This window comes from Homo sapiens, chromosome 7 (genome assembly GCF_000001405.40).
Source record: "Homo sapiens chromosome 7, GRCh38.p14 Primary Assembly".
NCBI lineage: Eukaryota > Metazoa > Chordata > Mammalia > Primates > Hominidae > Homo > Homo sapiens.
Window position 1 is genome coordinate 43,968,726 of NC_000007.14, and position 20,489 is coordinate 43,989,214.

Genomic DNA, 20,489 nt, shown 5'->3' on the forward strand with positions numbered 1-20,489 from the left:
CATAGGGCTGCCTGGCTGGGGGCCACCCTCCTGCCTCACAGGCAGGGAGCAACTTGGGGAGGTGGGTTTGGAGCTGGAAGGGAAGACGCTTCTCACGGACAGAGTGTGACTCAGACCCAGGCCCAGACGGGAGTGCAGCCTGCAGCTAAAAATACCCTGGGGGTTGGGGGGTGGCCCTGTCACAGGTGACTCAGGCCCATGGAACCATCCAAACCACTGTCCCTCCTTGGGGGAACCCTCAATTTGCCCATCGGGAGATTTTCAGCAACTCTTTTCACCCCCCCAGCCCCACGAGGGACCCACTTACACACACTCCCACCAGGCCAAGTTCACACTGGCGTTAAACATAAGGAAGCCGGCCTTAGCACTGGGGGACTGAGGCTGTGTGATCAGAGTTCGGGGTCTCCTCACCCGTACCCCCTACTCCACTCCTCTGTGATGGCTCCAGTTCCTCCATGAGAACATTAGACTGTCCCTTAAGGGACATATCCCCTTGAGTGGAAATCACCCAAGAAGCATCTTCAAGTCCAGAAAACCTCCCCAGACCCTCTCTTTTTTCTTTCTTTTTTTTTTTTTTTTTTGAGATGCAGTCTCGCTTGTCACCCAGGCTGGAGTGCAGTGGCGCCATCTCGGCTCACTGCAACCTCTGCCTCCTGGGTTCAAGACTCCTGCCTCAGCCTCCTGAGTAGCTGAGATTACAGGCGCCTGCCACCATGCCCGGCTAATTGTTGTATTTTTAGTAGAGACAGGGTCTCACCATGGTGGTCAGGCTGGTCTTGAACTCCTGGCCTCAGGTGAACCACCTGCCTCGGCCTCCTAAAGTGCTGGGATTACAGGTGTGAGACACTGTGCCTGGCGAGACCCTCTCTTGAGAGCAGGCTTTGATGGGAGGTGGCCAGCTCTGGGACCAGGAGGTAGAGGTGGGGCGAGGGGGGGCTCAGCTTCCTCATTGGGTTTCTCTAGTTGCAGGGGACCCACTGCCCGCCCCCAGGCCCCTGAGTCTCACCTGGCCTCCAGCACAGAGCAGCGTAGCTGGCAGGCCCGGGCCCCTGGGCGCACTTCCAGCCGCAGGTGGATCTCGCCCTGCACCTCCTCATCAGGGTCAACCTCCGTCAGGTGGGCCCACCCGCTGAAACCTGTGGGGTCAGCTCAGCCAGGGACACGGCCCTGAACCCCCATACCCTCCACCCTCAGCCCTACCAGGCACCTTGAGGCACCTCCATAATCTCCTGGGAATCCCCTAGGCACCCGTGAAGCAGGGGCTGGTATCCCCAATGACAGATGGGGAAACTGAGGCTCAGCAGGTGAAGAAACAGCAGTTGGAAGAGCTGGGATTAGAATCTAAGTCAGTGACCTGGGGCCTGTGCCCTCACTATTGTGTCATTTTTGTCGTTGTTGTTTTTAGAGACAGGGTCTCACCCTGTGAGCCAGGTGTGGTGGCGCATGCCTGTAATCCCAGCTCCTCAGGAGGCTGAGGCAGGAGAATTACTTGAACTCAGATCGCACCATTGCACTCCAGACTGGGTGACAGAGCAAGACCCCATCTCAAAAAAAAAAAAAAAAAAAAAAAAAAAAAGATGGAGTCTTGCTATGTTGCTCAGGCTGGTCTCAAACTCCTGACCTCAAGCAATCCTCCCACCTCAGCCTCCCAAGGTGCTGGGATTATGAGCGTGGGCCGCTGTACCCAGCCAGATTCCCCATCTTAAAACGGGAAGAGAGTGGCCCTCCCCTAGGGCTGCTGGGAGGAGGGTCTGAGGCCCAGATGGAGAAGCTACAAGATTGCGCCATTGCACTCCAGACTGGGTGACAGAGCAAGACCCCATCTCAAAAAAAAAAAAAAGATGGAGTCTTGCTATGTTGCTCAGGCTGGTCTCAAACTCCTGACCTCAAGCCATCCTCCCACCTCAGCCTCCTAAGGTGCTGGGATTATAAGTGTGGGCCGCTGTACCCAGCCAGATTCCCCATCTTAAAACAGGAAGAGAGTGGCCCTCCCCTAGGGCTGCTGGGAGGAGGGTCTGAGGCCTGGATGGGGAAGCTACAAGGCACCCGGAGGAATAGCCTCACTGGGGCCACTAGACCCCAGAGACGCTGGCTAAGGCTGCAGGTGGGAAAGGCCTTTGGCCTGGCAGGGGCCAAGAAGCCCCATGAGTCAGCAGAACCTGCCTCCGCCCTGCCCCCATCCCTGGCCCAGCGTCACAGACAGGAGCAGGTGTGTGTGGGGGCAAGCCAGTAAGCGGGACACAAAGGCTCTGATGGCAGAGCCCATAGCATCCAAGAACTGGTTTGAACCCTCAGAGAAGCCCAGAGAAGGCAAGAGCTGCCCAAGGTCACACACAGTGAGGCTGGCACAGGGCTGAACCCTCAAAATCATGTCTGGCAGAGCATGGTGGTTCACACCTGTAATCCTAGCACCTTGGGGAGGCCAAGGCGGGAGGATCTGTCAAAGCCAGGAGTTCAAGACCAGCCTGGGCAACAGAGTGAGACCCCCCATCTCCATTTTTTTTTTTTTTTTTGAGACAGAGTCTTGCTCTGTCACCTAGGCTGGAGTGCAATGGCGCAATCTTGGCTCACTGCAACCTCTGCCTCCCAGGTTCAAGAGATTTTCCTGTCTCAGCCTCCCTAGTAGCTGGGATTACAGGTGAGTGCCACCATGCCCAGGTAATTTTTATATTTTTAGTAGAGACAGGGTTTCACCATGTTGACGAGGCTGGTCTTGAACTCCTAATCTCAAGTGAATTGCCACTGGGATTACAGGTGTGAGCCACCATGCCCGGCCTCCATCTTTGTTTTTCTTTTGGAGATGGAGCTTGCTCTGTCATCCAGGTTGGAGTGCAATGGCGTGATTTTGACTCACTGCAACCTCCGCCTCCTGGATTCAAGCGATTCTCCTGCCACAGCCGCCTGAGTAGCTGGGATTACAGGTGCCCACCACCACGTCCAGCTAATTTTTTGTATTTTTAGTAGAGACAGAGTTTTGCCATGTTGGCCAGGCTGGTCTTGAACTCCTGACCTCAGGTGATCCACCTGCCTCGGCCTCCCAAAGTGCTGGGATTATAGGTGTGAGCCACTGCACCCGGCCTCTATTTTATTTTTTATTTTTATTTTTTATTCATTTATTTATTTATTTTTGAGGTGTAGTCTTGCTCCGTTGCTGAGGCTGGAGTGCAGTGGCGCGATCTCGGCTTACTGCAAGCTCTGCCTCCCGGGTTCACGCCATTCTCCTGCTTCAGCCTGCCAAGTAGCTAGGACTACAGGTGCCTGCCACCAAGCCCAGCTAATTTTTTTGTATTTTTAGTAGAGACGGGGTTTCACCATGTTAGCCAGGATGGTCTCGATCTCCTGACCTCGTGATCCACCCGTCTCGGCCTCCCAAAGTGCTGGGATTACAGGTGTGAGCCACCGTGCCCGGCCTTTTCTTTTTTTAAAAAACTATATAAAAATTGTAAAAACAATAACACAAAACAATGTCTGCATCCCAGAAATAATTGAAAGGGATCTCCAGCCTGGACTGGCTCTAGGCCAACCCTTCAGACTTAGGACACAGTAGTACTAGGGCCCAGATGGAGGAGACCCCATGGGTTACAGAAGGAGCTGGCCTGATTTGGAGAAGGGGTCCCTATGCTTCAGCAATAGAGTGTAAGGAGGCCCCTTCTTCTGCCAGCAGAGGCCTCAGATTCCACCCATAGCAGCCCCTCTTCACCCTAGGGAAGAGGCAGTAACAACCAGGCTTGGGAACATGCTGCAGAACAGAGGCCAGGAGTACAGAACGTGGCCCCGGCTTCTGGGGAGAGTAGAAATGGCTTTCCCTGAGCAGGAGACCAGACGGAGCCTAGAGGGGAGGTCTCTGAGTGGGAGGGAGGCCAGGGACTGGGCAGACCAGTGCGGGAGGGAAGGGAGAACTTACCCTTAGGGTGAGAAGCTATGGTGTCCCTTGTAAGGCAGACCTTTCCGATAACGTCGTCCCGGCTAGAGGAGGGAGATGGAGGCAGAGCTGGGCAGGGCTTCAGTATCTGCCCTCTGGGACCTCCCACCAAGTTCAGGGCCCCCCCGGGGGGAGCAGGGTGGTGGACACCGATGTCATTTCCAGAGTAACCCAACAGAGCTGGACCTGTGGCCCTTCTGTAGGCTGTGGGTTCTGGACCCTCTAGGGGGATGTGATAGGTTTCTCACATGCCCACACATGCCAAGCTCACACTCTCTGGGTGCCCATCTCACAGCTCACACCTGCACGCACACGTGTAGTCCATGCACACTTGTGCCCGCATGCCTGCACACACACGTGTGTATGTGGTGCATGCACCATGGAGCCACGCATGTGCACACCCACATGCTCAAGCCTTTCGCCCTCCCAGGCCCCCAGGCTCTGCCTCCCTCCAGGCTGCAAAGAGGATGCCAAAAAGGACCCAGGAGTCCTGGTGGTGAAATGGGCCAGGGAGCAATCAGATGGCCAGGTCTGGGTCCCAGCTGGAGAGGGGGGCACTCACCTGAGGGCATCCTCATCCATGACGTAGAAAGCCACAGCGTGGAAGGTGGGCGGCAGGTGCACTTGGTACTCCTCACCCCAGAAGGGGCACAGGGTCTTCCACACTGTGGCTGTCCTGCAGGAGAGAACCCTCAGCATGTGCCCAGGCCACCCCCAGGCCCTGGGCTTGGACCTTCCTTGTATCTCCCCCTACCCCTATAACAACTGGCTCTGCCACTGATGTGTTTTCCCTGTGCCAGACCCTACTGTTCACCACCAATCACTACCCCCTGACATTCCTCTCTGCTCTGGATGGGGCACAGGGCTGCCTCTCTCTGGCTGTTATTTATTTTATTTTATTTTTTTGAGACGGAGTCTCGCTCTGTCGCCCAGGCTAGAGTGCAGTGGCGTCATCTCAGCTCACTGCAACCTCTGCCTCCCAGGTTCAAGCAATTCTCCCTGCCTCAGCTTCCTGAGTAGCTGGGATTACAGACGCCTGCCACCACGCCCAGCTAATTTTGTCATTTTAGTAGAGACAGGGTTTCACCCTGTTGGCCAGGCTGCTCTCGAACTCCTGACCTCAAGTGATCCGCTCCCCTTGGCCTCCCAAAAGACATGTTTGGGAGGCTCAGTGCTCATTTCTCATGGGGAGATGTCTAGAAGCAGAATTGCTGGGGCCTGGGGCAGGCGTAGAACACTGGATTCTAAACAGGCCGGTTCTTACTGTGCCTCTCCGAGCATTTCACACGCGTTCCCACCACCTTCCCAGGGGACCTACCACGTGTCTCCTTCACCTCCCTTTATTCTCCCAGTAACAGAAACTTCAGATCCATCAGCCTCTGTTTTGCAGAGCAGAGCAGCCCTCCTGACCTTGCTCCTGTCCTGGTGGGCCCAGGGCACACCCGTCACAGCTAAAGGGCCCACTGGGTTGGCCAACAAGGAGAGAGCCCTTTCCTGCAGGCTGAGAGCCTCTCTCTGTCTCTCTCTCTCTTTTTTTTTTCTTTTTTTTTTTGAGATGGAGTCTCGCTCTGTCACCCAGGCTGGAATGCAGTGACGCAATCTTGGCTCACTTCAGCCTCTGCCTCTGGGGTTCAAGTGATTCTCCTGCCTCAGCCTCCCAAGTAGCTGGGTTTACAGGTGCGTGCCACCATGCCCGGCTAATTTTTGTATTATTTATTTATTTATTTATTTATTTATTTATTTTTAGTAGAGATGGAGTTTCACCTTATTGGCCAGGCTGGTCTCGAACTCCTGACCTCAACTGATCCACCCACCTCGGCCTCCCAAAGTGCTGGGATTCCAGGCATGAACCATCACGCCCAGGCCCTGAGAGCTTCTCTCATGGCACTTTGGGACTGTCTGTTTGCAGTCCATCCCTCTGTGGGCTGGCCACCCCTTTACCCCCAGGATAGAGACTGTGGTCAAGCTATTCCTGCACCCAGTGCCCAGCACACAGCTTGATGTGAACAACAGGGAACCGGCGGCTCACAGAAAGGTGGGGTAGGAGAGAACAGCTTAGAGGCAAATGTCTCCTACTTTGAGGACTAAGTCCAGAGATGTAGCTTCAAGGTCCAGTTTCTCTGCTTGGGCCTGAGGAAAGCTTTTCACTTTTTGGGATCTTAGTACGAGCCTGGTGTCCCTCCAGGGTCCAGGTGGGCCCTTCCATTCACCCCAGCCTTAGACCCAAGGCAGATGAGTTGAGTACAACCAAGAACCATTGGCCACACCCTTCCCAGGCCCTGAGAGGTCACTTCCTGGACAGCCCAGGCTGGAACCGGCCCACGGTGGGAAGAGAAGGGGTCTCCCACTGGAGATAAGGCCTCCAGTCAATGTCTCTGACATTCATGGAGATCCCTCTGGGGCTCAGTGGCTGGTCAGAGGGGTCGAGGCAGGGCCCTGGGCAGCGGGTGGACAGGCTCCGTGATCAGAGGGACCGTCACCCAGCCCGCCCTTGGCCGTCAGCCCAGACCCAGGTTCCTCTCTTCCCAGAAGTTCATCCCCCTAAATGGACTTACGTGCTTAGCTCTCATTAACATTCTGAACCTTCCAGAAAGGGAGTGGAAATATCCTGCCTCATCTCCTGCTGAGGAAGCCTGGGTAGGAGTGGAGGAAGATAAAGGGACCCCCCCAAGGGCTGCTGCTGGGGCCAGAGATGTGGGGGTCCCAGGCAAGGGTGTTGTCCTGAGCAGAGTCTCTGCACCAGCTCAGTCACCAAGGAGGCTCTGCAAGTTCATCCAGCAGAGGTGGGAGAGCTGAACACCCCTGCCTCTCTCTTAGGGATCCTTGACTCCCTCTGCACCAGCCCAGCAGTCCCCCGCCAGCCGCCCCTCACTTCCCTCCTCCAGCAATTCTTTTTATTGTTTTTTTGAGATGGAGTCTTGCTCTGTCGTACAGTGGTGCGATCTCAGCTCACTGCAACCTCCGCCTCCCGAGTTCAAGCAATTCCCCTGCCTCAGGCTCCCGAATAGCTGGGATTACAGGCACTCACCACCACGCCCAGTTAATTTTTGTATATTTAGTAGAGACGAGGGTTTCGCCATGTTGGCCAGGCTGGTCTCGAACTCCTGACCTCAAGTGATCCACCCACCTCAGCTTCCCAAAGTGCTGGGATTACAGGTGTGAGCCACTGCACCCGGCCCAAGGGCCCATCTTAACACTGCTACTGTGCATGAGGCTTGTGCTGGGCAGGGGCTCCCTGGGCTGGGCTGAAGTGACCTGGGTAGCTGGCATGGGTGGTCTGAGTCTCCAGGTCTGTGTTCTCATTTCTCACCTGTCTCCCTCCGTCCCTTCACCCCAGCAGAGACAGATTACAGCCTGCACCATGGGTGGCCAGGAGATAATCTTTCTTTTAATTTTGTATTTTTTTATTTTTTGAGACACAGTCTCGCTTTGTCACCCAGGCTGGAGTGCAGTGGCGCAATCTCAGCTCAGTGCAACCTCCAACACCTGGATTCAAGCGATTCTCCTGTCTCAACCTCTTGAGTAGCTAGGATTACAGGCGTGTGCCACCATGCCCAGCTAATTTTTGTATTCAAGATATTCCTTTGTATTCGATATACTCTTTTTTTTTTTTTTCGAGATGACGTCTTGCTCTGTCACCCAGGCTCAAGAGATTCTACTGCCTCAGCCTCCTGAGTAGCTGGGATTACAGGTGTAAACTACCACAGCCAGCTAATTTTTGTATTCGAGATATTCTTTTTGTTGTTGTTGTTGAGACAGAGTCTCACTCTGTTGCCCAGGCTGGAGTGCAGTGGCACAATCTTGGCTCACTGCAATCTCCACCTCTCTGGTTCAAGAGATTCTCCTGCCTCAGCCTCCCAAGTAGATGGGATTACAGGCACCCACCACCACGCCCGGCTAATTTTTGTATTTTTAGTAGAGACAGAGTTTCACCAAGTTGGCCAGGCTGGTCTCGAACTCCTGACCTCAGGTGATCTACCCGCCTCGGCCTCCCAAAGCGCTGGCATTACAGGTGTGAGACACCGCACCTGGTCGATATTTGAGATATTCTTGAACTCCGTGTGATTTGGAGGTTGACAAACCACTCAAGGTAGAAGAGACAGAAGTGATGGAAGCATTTGAAGCTGAGCTTGGAGGACCAGAGGACTGGGGCTCCAGGAGAAGGGGTGGGAGGTGGGGGAAGGGTGGCAGGGAGCAGCTGGTGTGAGCCCTCATGCACCATCCTGGAGACCCAGGAGCCTTGGGCCCGACAGCACAGCTCAAACCCGTCCAGCAAGCAGGGGTTCCAGCTCCTGCAACACTGAATCCCCCAAATCCCTACAAGTCCCCAGGGGCATCTGGGGACAGTCTGCATTTCAGCCAGGACCTCACCTATGGGTCCTGGGAGCAAGGGGAAGCCATCCCCTTTGCCTGGAGTGTCCTGCTTGGGAAGGGCCCCCACAGCAGGGTGGCTGGGACCCCAGAGAGACCCCTCTCTCGAACCATAGCCCTTGCCTTTTTGTGACCCTGCAATGGAAATATCCCCCAGGAAGGTTACTTTGATGGGGTCAGACCGGGTAGCCCCCGCCCACTCGCTGCCCCAGACTCTTGGACAAGCTGATTCCCTCCCCGAGGCTTCACAGCCCCCCACTGCCCAAGTCTTCAGACCCCTCAGGTAAACCCTTATTTCCAAGAGCGCCCCGGCTCCCATGTCAAAGAGGGGGTGCAGAGACACACTGTGTGGGTGAGTGGAGGGCTGCCTGGTTTCCAACAGTGGTCCCCTTGGGGCACCTGTGCTCCTGCTGCAGTGGACGGCTGGGTGTCTGGAGGAAGGGCTGGGGTGTGGAGACAGCCGTGGGGCACAGCCAGCAGGGGTGGGGGTTCCAGGCTGACTCCCTCTGCATCTGCTGAGGGATGGGCTGCGAATGGTTTCTGTCCCCTGATATCCACTTGCTCTTTTTCCTTTCTTTCTTTTCTCCTTCTCCTCCCCTCCCCTTTCCTTCCCTTCCCTCCTTCCTTCCTTCCTTTCTCTCTCCTTCCTTCCCCTCCTTCCTTCCCCTCTCCTTCCTTCCTCTCTCCTTCCTTCCCCTCCTTCCTTCCTTCCCCTCTCCTTCCTTCCTTCCCCTCTCCTTCCTTCCTTCCTCTTTCCTCTTTCTTTCCTTCCTTCTTTCTTTGCTTTCTTTTTCTTTCTTTCATCTTTCTCTCTCTCTCTCTCTCCCTTTCTTTCTCCCTCTCCCTCTCCTCTCTCTTTCTCTCTTTATTTCTTTCTGACAAGGTCTCAGGGTCTTGCTCTGTGCCCGGGCTGGAGTGCAGTGATGCAATCATAGCTCACTGCAGCCTCGACCTCCTGGGCTCAAGCGATCCTCACACCTCGGCCTCCTGAGTAGCTGGGACCACAGATGCACACTACCATGCCCAGCTAATTTTTAAAACTTTTTAAGAGATGGGGGTCTCCGTATGTTGCCCAGGCTGGTCTTGAACTTCTGGGCTCAAGCGATCCTCCCACCTAGGCCTCCCAAAGCGCTGGGATTACAGATGGGACCCATCGCACCCAGCCCGTTCTTTCCCTGCTCTTATTTCTGCTGCTTTTTGCCCTTTTCCCCACTGAGTCCAGCCGTGGAACTGACGCCAGCTCTCTGATTTTATCTTGTGTTTATTGGGAAATGGTGGTGCCCATCTCTGGGCCAGTCCAGACAGCTTCCCCCTAGGAAGTGAGCCGAGTTCCCACGGCGTGTCAGAGTTAAAAACAAGGACAAGAGACAGCGTGAGAGACATAAGAGAGGGGGCACGGAGAAAGACAGAAAAGCAGAGAGAGGGACACACAGGTCCCCTGCTTCCTCTTCTGTTTGTTCATTAATCAGGCTGATGTCAGGTGGCACAAGGGGCATTGGACATCATTTCATGGCTCAAGATCATTGTCCCTAAGTCTGTTTTCCCAGGCTGTCCCCTTAAGAGCTGGGCTGCCGCGGCCACACCCTGCAGTCCATGTCACCCTCCAGCCATTGCTCTCCTGTGGGTGTGCCTGGCAGAGCCTCCAGCTCTGTGCCTGCCCCCTGGAATGCCCCTAAAGCCCTCCCAGCCCCTTACCCAGCCTTCAAGGCCACACCTGTGCCCCTCCTTCATGCAGCCCCCAGATGGGATCAGGAGGCAGGGTGTGCCTCTCTGTCCCTCAAGGGCTCCCTGGTCATCTCTGTGCATGTCTAGATGCCACTGAGATGGACTGGCCTTGATGGCCGGGACTCTATGTCTTAGCATCCAGCATGGCTAGCTGAAGTCAGTGGCTGCAGAGTGTGGGAATGAGTGAGTGAGTGAGTGAGTGAGTGAGTGAATGAATGAATGAATGAATGGGGGAGAACTGAGTGACCCAAGGGAGGCCCAGACCTGGACAGGAGCTTCTGGTGCCTCTTGTCCCTCCTTTTTTTTTTTTTTTTAAGATGGAGTCTGGCTCTATTGCCCAGGCTGGAGTGCCGTGGCACAATCTCAGCTCACTGCAACTTCTGCCTCTCAGGTTCCAGTGATCCTACTGCCTCAGCCTCCTAAATAGCTGGAACTACAGGCGTGCACCACCATACCCGGCTAATTTTTGTATTTTTAGTAGAGACAGGGTTTTGCCATGTTGACCAGGCTGGTCTTGAACTCCTGACCTCGTGATCCACCTGCCTCGGCCTCCCAAAGTGCTGGGATTACAGGCGTGAGCCACCGCACCCAGACCCCTCTTGTCCATTCTTTTCATGGATGAGGAGGCTGAGGCCCAAGCCGGTCAAGGGGGGGCCAGGACTGGGGCTCCGACATTTTCTCTCCCAGGGGATTCTCAGGATCCCTCTCTGGGAACATGATCAGTGGCTTTAAGGGGCCAGGGGCTTTCCCTCCAGCCAGCCCTGGACTCACAGGCCCCAGAGAACCTGGAGAAGCCAGCCTCGCATGGCTGGGATTTTCATCGGGAGAATCCCACTGGCCATGTACTGGGCTCTCTCCCAGTCCGAGATTGGGCTCTGGGCTCAGCACTGAGCAGGACCCAAGGAAGTGGCTTAAGTCTTTGTGGCCAGGCGGTGTCTGCTGTAGAAAGCAGTGTGGCATGTGGCCGGGTGGTACTGTGGCCAGGGAGAGAGGTTGCCTGGGGCTGTCCAGGCTTCAGCCTGGGAAAGGGAGCACCCAGGGAACCAAGACAAGGTGCAGGGCTGGAGGCAGCTTTGGGCTCAGCTGTCGGGGAAGCATATTGGCAGGAGGGGCCTCCTGGATGTCTGGTCAGAGATGGCCAGGGGGCCAAGGACATATGAGAGGCAGCTGAGGGTTGCCGGGCGAGCTGCCTCATGCCTGTAATCCCAGCACTTTGGGAGGCTGAGGCGGGCGGATCACCTGAGGTCGGGAGTTTGAGACCAGCCTGGCCAACATGGTGAAACCCCGTCTCTACCAAAATACAAAAATCAGCCGGGCATGGTGGCGGGTGCCTGTAATCCCAGCTATTCAGGAGGGTGAGGCACGAGAATCGCTTGAACCCAGGAGGTGGAGGTTGCAATGAGTCAAGATCGCGCCACTGCACTCCAGCCTGGGTGACAGAGCCAGACTCTGTCTCAAAAACAAAAAAAAAGAAAAAAGAGAGGCAGCTGAGGGGAGGGACAAGGGTCATTAGTCCACATGGGAGCTGGCTGAGGCTGGTGCCCAGGGATAGGGGAGCTGAGTGGGTGCAGGCCCAGGAAGTGAGCAATTGCCAGTGACACCGGGTGGAGGGACAGGTGGAGGAGGAGTTGTGAGCTCAGCTGCACAGGACATTACTCCAAATGGGGCTGAGGAGCAAGGGGGACCCCCACACTCCCCACATCCCAATGCTGAGGCATGTGGGTAGGGGGCTACCCAGGAGGGCTTCAGGGAAAAAGTGTTCTGAAGGAAGAGGCAGGAGGGTGGTGAAGGGGACATTTGGGGGCCACCCCTTCTCCAGCTGGCAAAATTGTCCTGTCCCCGCTGGGTGCGGTGGCTCATGCCTGTAATCCCAGCACCTGGGGAGGCTGAAGCGGAAGGATCACTTGAGGTCAGGAGTTTGAGACCAGCTTGGGCCACACGGTGAAACCTGCACCCCACCCCCCACCCCGCCCAATCTCTACTAAAAATACAAAAATTAGCTGGGCATGGTGGTGCACTCCTGTAATCCCAGCTACTCGGGAGGCTGAGAGATGAGAATCACTTGAACCCAGGAGGCGGAGATTGCAGTGAGCCGAGATCGTGCCATTGTACTCCAGCCTGGGCGACAGAGCAAGACTCCATCTCAAAAAAAAAAAAAAAAAAAAATTTGCCCTGTCCCCTGAGACTCAGAGGTCAGCCCCTGCAGAGTCCCTTCTGCACACCCCCAGCCCCACCCCAGCCTTAGCAGCCCTCTGTCTGGGCAGGACTTTGTGGCCCTCTCTCCAGTCTGGAGACCAGAAGGCCAGGAAGGGAGGCCAGGCATGGTGGCTTATGCTTGTAATTTCAGCACTTTGGGAGGCCAAGGTGGGAGCATCTCTTGAGCTCAGGAGTTCCAAACTAGCCTGGGCAACATGGCGAGACCCCATCTCTACAAAAAATAAAAAAATTAGCTGGGTGGTGGCACATCCTATAATCCCAGCTACTTGGGAGGCTGAGGTGGGAGGATTGCTTGAACCCAGGGGTTCAAGGCTGCAGTGAGCTATGATCGTGCCACTGCACTCAAGCCTGGGTGACGGAGACCCTGCCTCTACCCAAAAAAAAAAAAAAGAAAGAAAGAAAGTTAGCTAGGTGCCTGTAGTGCCTGAAATCCCAGCACTTTGGGAGGCCAAGGTGGGAGGATCGCCTGAGCCCAGGAGTTCAGTGCTACAGTGAGCTATGAAGACGCCACCATACCCCACCCTGGGCAACAGAGTGAGACCCCATCTCTAAAAAAGGAAAAAAAAAAAAAAAAGAAAGAAAGAAAAGAAAGAACAGGAAGGATCTAATTCCACTGGATCAGCATGAAAGTGGCGTGTGCCTCTGTATGTCCATTTCGCTTTCTCTGTCCTGCTCTGACCCAGCAGATTGGCCTCCAGGGACTGCACCACTGAGACCCCACACTCTCTTGCTTCTCGTGAGGTGTGGCCAGTGGAGACACTGGCATGAGATCAGGGGGCGGGAAGACAGAGCCCAGTTCCCTCTGGTGGCTTCATCCTTTCACCTACAGCCCCTGCTCCTGCGGGGCCCCTCACCCATGGCTACTGCCTGCTGATCCAGGAAACATCACTCCCTCCCTCCCATCAGCAATCAGATCCAGGAGTGCTTAGGGCCCCATTACAGCCAAGTCCCAGGTCACCCTCTCTGGTCCATTCCCCTAATGCTGCCCACACCTTTGTAAACGCTCTCAATTGCCCTGTGAGACAGCGTACCCTCTGTTTCCTGCCAGGGCCCGACGCATACAGGGTGTGGGCAAGGGTTTGTGAAATGCAGGGTCTTAGAGTTCACCCAGTTCACCTTCCCTTTTAAAAATGTTTCATTTTAGAGACAGGGTCTTGCTCTGTCACAGAGGCTGGCGTCCAGGGGTGCCATCATAGCTCACTGCAGCCTCCAACTCCTGGGCTCAAGCGATCCTCCCACCTCAGCCTCCATAGTAGCTGGGACTGCAGGTTCACACTACCATGTCTGGCTAATTTTTCTTTTGTTTTGTTTTGAGACAGTCTTGTTCCCTGTCACCCAGGCTGGAGTGCAGTGGCATGATCTGGGCTCACTGAAACCTCCTTCACCTGGGTTCAAGTGATTCTCCTGCCTCAACCTCCACAGTAGCAGGGATTACAGGCATGCACCACCATGGCTGGCTAATTTTTGTATTTTGTGTAGAGACGGGGTTTCACCATGTTGGCCAGGTTGGTCTCAAACTCCTGACCTCAGGTGATCCTCCTGCTTCTGCCTCCCAAAATGCTGGGATTCCAAGTGTGAGCCACCACGCCTGGCCTTAACCACCATGCCCAGCCTTAATTTTTGTATTTATATTTTGTAGAGATGGGGTGTTGCTATGTTGCCCAGGCTGGACTTGAACTCTTGGTCTCAAGCAATCCTCCCACCTCGGCCTCCCAAAGCACTAGGATTAGAGGTGTGAGCCATCTGCACCTGGCCTAACCATTGCTTTTTATGTAAGGGGAAACTGAGGCCCAGAGAGTGTGAGTGATCTGTCTTGGGTCACTCAGCCCCAGGGTTGGGGCTCAAAGCTGTTCTGAAAAGGTTCTGGAGAGGCCAGGGCTTATCTCACAGAGGTTGGCAGCCTGTCTGCCCCATCCCCTGCCTGCCTCTCCCAGCCTGGTAGCTTCAAGATCATTTGAGCATTTCCTCCACAGCAGGAGCCGGATGCATCTGCTCCACCTAATAACCCCATTAGGGCCATTTGCGCCTCTCAGGGGCAGGCGCCTGGGAACCCAGCCAGCGCCCTCCTCCCTGACCTCTTGCCCCAGAGGGCGGGGCCCCTCCACATGGCACAGGGTGTCTTCCGGTCTCCTCTCCATCCCTCACCCTCCCCTACCTGCCCATCAGCAACACATTGCTCCTCCTGCCTGGCACCCTTCCAAGGTCCACCTGGCCCAAGTGTCCTGCTCCTTCTTCAAAGCCACCCCTCCCCAAGATGCTGCCTCTGAAGCTCAAACAGTCCATCTCCCTGACAGTTGTGTCCTCTCCTTCTCTCGTATGTGGTAGTATCACTGTCCTCCCCCTAAAGCAGTGGGCACCTTGAGGGCAGAACCTTGCCACGGGCATCTCTGGCCCCTGGGGTCCGAGCACTGAGTGGGAATCCTGATGATAAGTGTTGCATGAGCTGGGCACAGTGGCTCACGCCTGTAATCCCAGCAGGAGGATCACTTGAGACCAGGAGTTCGAGACCAGCCTGGGCAACATAGTGAGACCCCGTCTCTAAAGAAATTTAAAAAATTAGCCAGACATGGTGCCATGTACCTACAGTCCAAGCTACTCAGGAGGCTGAGGCGGGAGGATCGCTTGCACCCAGGAGTTTGAGGCTGCAATGAGCTATGATCACACCACTGTTCTTTCCAGCCTGGGCAACAGAGTAAGATTCCATGTCTACAAAAAAATTAAAAATTAGCCAGACGTGGTGTCATGTGCCTGTAGTCCCAGCTACTCTCAGGAGGCTGAGGTGGGAGGATCACTGGAGCCCAGGAATTAGAGACTGCAGTGAGCTATGATGGTGCCACTGCACTCCAGCCTGGGCTATAAGGTGAAACTCCATTTCAAAAAAAAAAAAAAAAAAGAAACTGCACCTTTTGCCTTTCGTGTACTCTAGGAAAGGATTGGAGGAAGTGGAGGCAGAGGGCTTGAAGTCCTCCAGCCAACAGGGGGCAGGCTGGGGAGAGGGGCCACAGGGAGGATGCTTGGGTGGAAAGATAGCAAGTGCCAGCCATGCTGCCCCGTGGCCTTTGGTTACCAGGAGGCTGTCTGGGCAGGACAAGAGGAGCACCTATCTCAGGTCCACAGTCTGCCAACAAGCCCAGCTAATTTTTTGTCATTTTTGTAGAGATAGGGTTTCACCATGTTGCCCAGGCTGGTCTCGAACTCCTGGGCTCAAGTGATCCTCCTGCCTCAGCCTCCCAAAGTGCTGGGATTACAGGCCTGAGCCACCGCAACCGGCTTTGGGTCCACAGTCTTCACAGTTCCCAAGGCATGTTCACCTTGGTTTAGCCTTACTGTGGCCTTGTGGGTTCAGGGTTACCATCCTCATTTTACAGATAGGGACAGTAAGGCTGGCAGAGAGACCTGTCCTGCCCCAGGTGACAATTTCTCTAGGATCCTGAGCCTTGCCCTGGTCCTACACGCCCTTGGGGACCTCCTCAGGAGGAGGAGCCAGGGGCAGTGGTGCAGAAAGACTACCCAGGTGTATGATGTCAGAGGCAGGCAGGGAGGTGTTGGGGGCATTTATTTCTGATAGAGACTGGCACAAGCTTTGGGCTAAGGACACCCGCCCCCACCCTCATCTAGAAACAATCTCTCTCGCCAGACTTGATGGCTCACGCCTGTAATCCCAGCACTTCGGGAGGCCGAGTCAGGCAGATCACAAGGTCAAGAGATGGAGGCCATCCTGGCCAACATGGTGAAACCCCATCTCTACTAAAAATACAAAAATGAGCTGGGCATGGCGGCGTGTGCCTGTAGTCCCAGCTACTCAGGAGGCTGAAGCAGGAAAATCGCTTGAACCCGTGTTGCAGTGAGCCAAGATCGCGCCAGCCTGGCGACAGAGTGAGACTCCGTCTCAAAAAAAAAAAAAAAAAAAAAAAAAGTAAAGAAAAGAAACAATCTCTCTCAGGGTCCAGAAGCTTCAGGGCGTGTCCCAGCCCAGGCTCTGCAGCCTGGGCCAGGGAGGAGGTGTAGGGACACGTGGGCCCCTCTGGTACCCCTCAGGAATCCCCCTCGGCCAGAGTGCTGAACGCGAGGTGCGTGGTGTATCTTCTCACACTCCCTGTCTCCTCTGGGCCTGATAGGGAAGTGCTCCTGCAGCTGTTGAAGCTTGGGAGGGGAGGAGAGAGGGAGAGATGATGGATGCTGAAGAAAGGCTCTGGCCGAGATCCCACAGCCATTGGCTAGCATGCTCTGACCCATCGCACAGGGGAAACTGAGACTCCACTGGCCGGGCAGAATTAACCAAAGGGACTGAGGCGATTCCTTCAAACCTCACAAATCCAGCTCATTGCTCCTGCTCCCCATCACTCTCCCCCTCCACCCTCCACACCTCAGGACCCCGCTCAAACATTATCTGCCTGTCTCCCCTGATCAAAACCCACTCCCGGCTCCCATAGGCTGCAGGATACAGCCCAGTTCCTCAGCTAGGCACCTGGGGCCCCTTGCCTGGCCTGGCTGCATGCACCCCTCCTGCTCCTCCTGCCCCTCCTGCCCCCACACCTCCCCACCCCCTTTTTATCACTCCCTCTCCCCCTCCTCCCCAAATCCCACCAGGGCTAGGTCTCCCCTTTTCTCTAGGAAGCCTTGTGGACACTCTCTGTGCCCCAGGCTCAGGCACCTGAGCTCTGTATGAAACCCTGACACCCCCCCCTTTTTTTTTTTAAATGGAGTCTCACTCTGTCACCCAGGTTGGAGTGCAGTGATGCAATCTCAGCTCACTGCAACCTCCACCTCCCAGGTTCAAGCCGTTCTCCTTCCTCAGCCTCCTGAGTAGCTGGGATTACAAGCACGTGCCACCACACCCAGCTAATTTTTTGTATTTTTAGTAGAGCTGGGGTTTCACTATGTTGGCCAGGCCGGTCTTGAACTCCTGACCTCAGGTGATCTGCGGGCCTCAGCCTCCCAAAGTGCTGGGATTACAGGCGTGAGCCACTGCACCCGGCCTGTATGGCGTCTTGAGGCAATGCTCAGAGCTTGGTGTGAAAGCAATTCACCTCCTCCTTGGGCGCCTCCCCGACTGGGGTGTCCGCAGGCGGCAACCACTTGCAATCCCAGATGCTGCCACCAGGGGGTGCACAGTACCCGCTTGGAAGGTGGGCAGGGGCGGGCGGGGAGGAACTAGAGAGGGAGGGGTTAATGCCCAAGGGCCCCGCCCCTCCCAAGAGGCATGGGCGGTCTCAGCCCGGTCCACTCACCAGCTGTATATGAGCACAGCCAGGAGGACCGTGAGGACGACGGCCAGGAGGATAGACAGGATGGCGATGATGACCACGGTGCCCGGGCTCTGGGGGCCAGGGACAGCCCGAAGTGCCTGGGCTGAGGGCAGTGATGGGGGCCGCATAGGCGGGCAGGAAAAGAAATTTTACCTGACCGGAAGGGGCCCTTGGGCAGAATCCAGACCAATCACCGCCCTGCCTCCCCTACCACCACCCAGGCCTGGGGGAAGGGGGTGGCTGGGGGAGGGGCGCCTGCAGATTGCAAGATGGTTGGCTGCCTCTGACTGAGTGGTGAGCTGACCTGTTCCCCCAGCCCATCCTCAGTCCTCAGGACCCCCAGGCCCCAGCCCCCTGCCCCTACTGTTTGACCGGAGCCTCTGGCCCCTACCTTGCTGCAGGCGAGTGTTGCTGGACCACTTTGTTTCAGCCACGGGTCCTTTGTCATTCATCACCAGGAACTTCACCCTGAATGGGAGACCCAGCATTGGCCATGGGGGTCCCCCGGAGTCCTGAAACCATCAGACTTGGTGCCTGCAAGTCTGTCCCCTGGAGTCCCAGGCCCTGGCGAGAGCAGCCCGGGGAGGGGGCCGGAGGCTGGGGCGAAAGAGCCCAACAGAATGGGTTCAAATCTAGGTGTGACATTTCCAGTGGTGTGACGTCCCTCCCCCTCTCTGGGCTTCTGTGTCCTCATTTGGGAAAGGTAGGGGGTGAGTATTAGATCTCTCAGAACTGAACATGCGTGAATCAAGCATTTAGTGAGGGGAGACCCTGTCTGGATGGAGAGACGCCACCTGAGTGGTCCACATGGCCTGTGGGGACTGGGGCTTGAGGTGGGGAACCTTCTGCTCAAGAAAAGCAGGATAGGCCAGGCATGGTGGCTCACGTCTGTAATCCCAGCACTTTGGGAGGCCAAGGTGGGCAGATCACTTGAAGCCAGGAGTTGAGACCCGCCTGGCCAACATGGTGAAACCTCATCTCTACTAAAATTACAAAAATTAGCCAGGCATGGTGGCAGGTACCTGGCCAACATGGCGAAACCCTGTCTCTACTAAAAATACAAAAATTAGTCGGGTGTGGTGTCAGATGCCTGTAATTCCAGCTACTCGTTAGGCTGAGGCTGGAGAATCGCTTGAACCCAGGAGGCACAGGTTGCAGTGAGCCGAGATCACACCACTCTACTCCAGCCTGGGTCACAGAGCAAGACTCCATCTCAAAAAAAAAAAAAAAAAGAAGAAGAAGAAGACGACGAAGAAGAAGAAAAGGAAAAAAAAAAAAAAAGAAGGATAATTCATGTAATTCATGAAGGCCTCCCCAGCCCCTGCCTGCTGCTTCCTCTTCCCTTTGGCCAAGCAGGAGCAGGGGACCCAGGCATCCTGCTGGGGCCCTGGTGAGCCTCGTAGGAGCTGCCCCAGGCTCCGGCTTGGGTGCATGCGGGCAGGAGCCAGGGCCTGGCAGAGCCGCTCACCTGTAGGGGCTCGGTCCTGGTAGGGGATGGTTGCAGCCAATTTTTGTTGGTTGGCAGTGGGTATCATTGCCAACACGGAGGACATGGAGCTGGCCTCTGGCCTGGTACAGCACCCGGTTGGCCCTCAGTGTGAGATAGTAGCCCCTCTGGGAGAAGTTGGCAGGAGCAGGGATGTCCTGGTTTGTCCGTGGGGCCGTGAAGCTCTGGGTGGCTAAGGGTGGCACCATGGTCAGACAGGTCACACAACAGGATCCCACCCTCACCTTACCAAGCCTGACAGCCCTCCCCAGCCCCATCCCCTGCAGCACCTGCTCCCTGCATCTCCCTGCAACACACCCGCTACTGCCCTTAGGCCCACAGGCCCATTTCACATAGGGAAAACCGAGGCCTGGCCCCAGCAGCACCCACCGTTGCTGAGGGCCACCACCAGCCAGATGGTATCCAAGTCAGAGATGTTGTGGCTGCTGAACTGGCCTAGAGGCTGCTCCAGCGTGAAGGTGGACAGGGTGAGCCTCCCCGCCAGGGTGTCGTTTGAGAGCTGGGGCACATAGCTGATGTGCTCTGGGGCAGCTGGAAGGGGAGGGCAGAGAGGAGAGGCCAAATGGGGCAACCAAGCCCCAACAGCTCTGGTCTCCCCCCGCCCAGATCCAGACTTAACATGGGAGCCCCAAGTTACGGGCACTTCCTGGGAGGTCAGGTCCGGTATGAACCAGGAAGCTTTCCCGGCAACTCTATGCCCCATGGGCATGGATGGGAGGCCTGAGTCCAGCCCCTGGCCCCTCTCTTAGGAGCCTACTGGGGGTGGGCACTGTGGGAGGTCTAGGACAATGGTGGCATGGGAGGTCCCACCCTGGCGGTAGGCACAGTTCTCCCGGGCCGGGCCATGTTGGGATGGAACTGGAATTTGGGGACAGCCTGACCCTAGGCTGAACTCTGTTCCTGACATGCCTAGTGACCTCCAACTTAAGTCCCTCCAGCTCCACCCATATGGTCTAGGTTGTTTTGCTTGATGAGAGGATGCGTGGCTTGGCAGGGGTCGGGGGGATGGCACAGGAAGGTCCCCTTGGCTGAGACCCCAGGCTGGGACACAGACTGCCCAGAGGGTCCGGGGGCTCTGAAGCCAGAGCTTGGTTCCGAGTGAGTCTAGAACGTCCTCTTCAACCTGTCTGGTTCTCTGCCACCTCCCAACATGGCCCCAAGGCATCTTCGCCTTCAGGACCAGGTCCCCCTCTCAGACTCCCACCTCATCTCTCTGGGGAAGGGTGGGGGACGAGGACAAGCTTCCCAGGTCTGTACCCCAAAGGGGACTCAGGATTGGCAACTTGGCCTGTGTCCAGCCTTGCTGGTTGGAGAGCTCAGACCTCCCCAACCCCAAATACTGGTCCAGGAGAAGCAGAACGATGGAGTGGGTTTCTATGCGAGTCTCCAGCAGCTGCCCCTGTTCAGTTCAGTTCAGTTCAACTTGATTCATTTACGTTGAATTCAACTCAACTCCAAAGGTTCAGGCTAGAGTCTTCCTTGGGGAAGGATTGTCACG

The 20,489-nt window shown here is 55.9% G+C and overlaps 1 pseudogene across 1 annotated transcript in view, besides 2 other annotated features; it reads right to left on the reverse strand.

Moving 5' to 3' along the window:
• Positions 1-20,489, reverse strand: part of POLR2J4 (RNA polymerase II subunit J4 (pseudogene)) — a 78,300-nt pseudogene that overhangs the window by 27,831 nt on the left and 29,980 nt on the right. The window contains exons 5-10 of the transcript NR_003655.3: positions 19,361-19,522; positions 18,953-19,163; positions 17,876-17,952; positions 4,485-4,598; positions 3,905-3,966; positions 1,007-1,136 (exon numbers count right to left, since the gene is read on the reverse strand). The product of NR_003655.3 is annotated as an RNA polymerase II subunit J4 (pseudogene) (transcript). The remainder of the gene's footprint in view (positions 1-1,006; positions 1,137-3,904; positions 3,967-4,484; positions 4,599-17,875; positions 17,953-18,952; positions 19,164-19,360; positions 19,523-20,489) is intronic.
• Positions 2,155-2,672: an enhancer, noted in NCBI's record as "H3K27ac-H3K4me1 hESC enhancer chr7:44010479-44010996 (GRCh37/hg19 assembly coordinates)". NCBI's record gives its function as "activates a minimal SCP1, AML or CMV promoter by ChIP-STARR-seq in primed H9 embryonic stem cells {active_cell/tissue: H9 hESC(primed)}" and the evidence as "EXISTENCE:reporter gene assay evidence [ECO:0000049][PMID:30033119]".
• Positions 17,238-17,287: a silencer, noted in NCBI's record as "silent region_18136". NCBI's record gives its function as "represses an Ori minimal core promoter by ATAC-STARR-seq in GM12878 lymphoblastoid cells {active_cell/tissue: GM12878}" and the evidence as "EXISTENCE:reporter gene assay evidence [ECO:0000049][PMID:35858748]".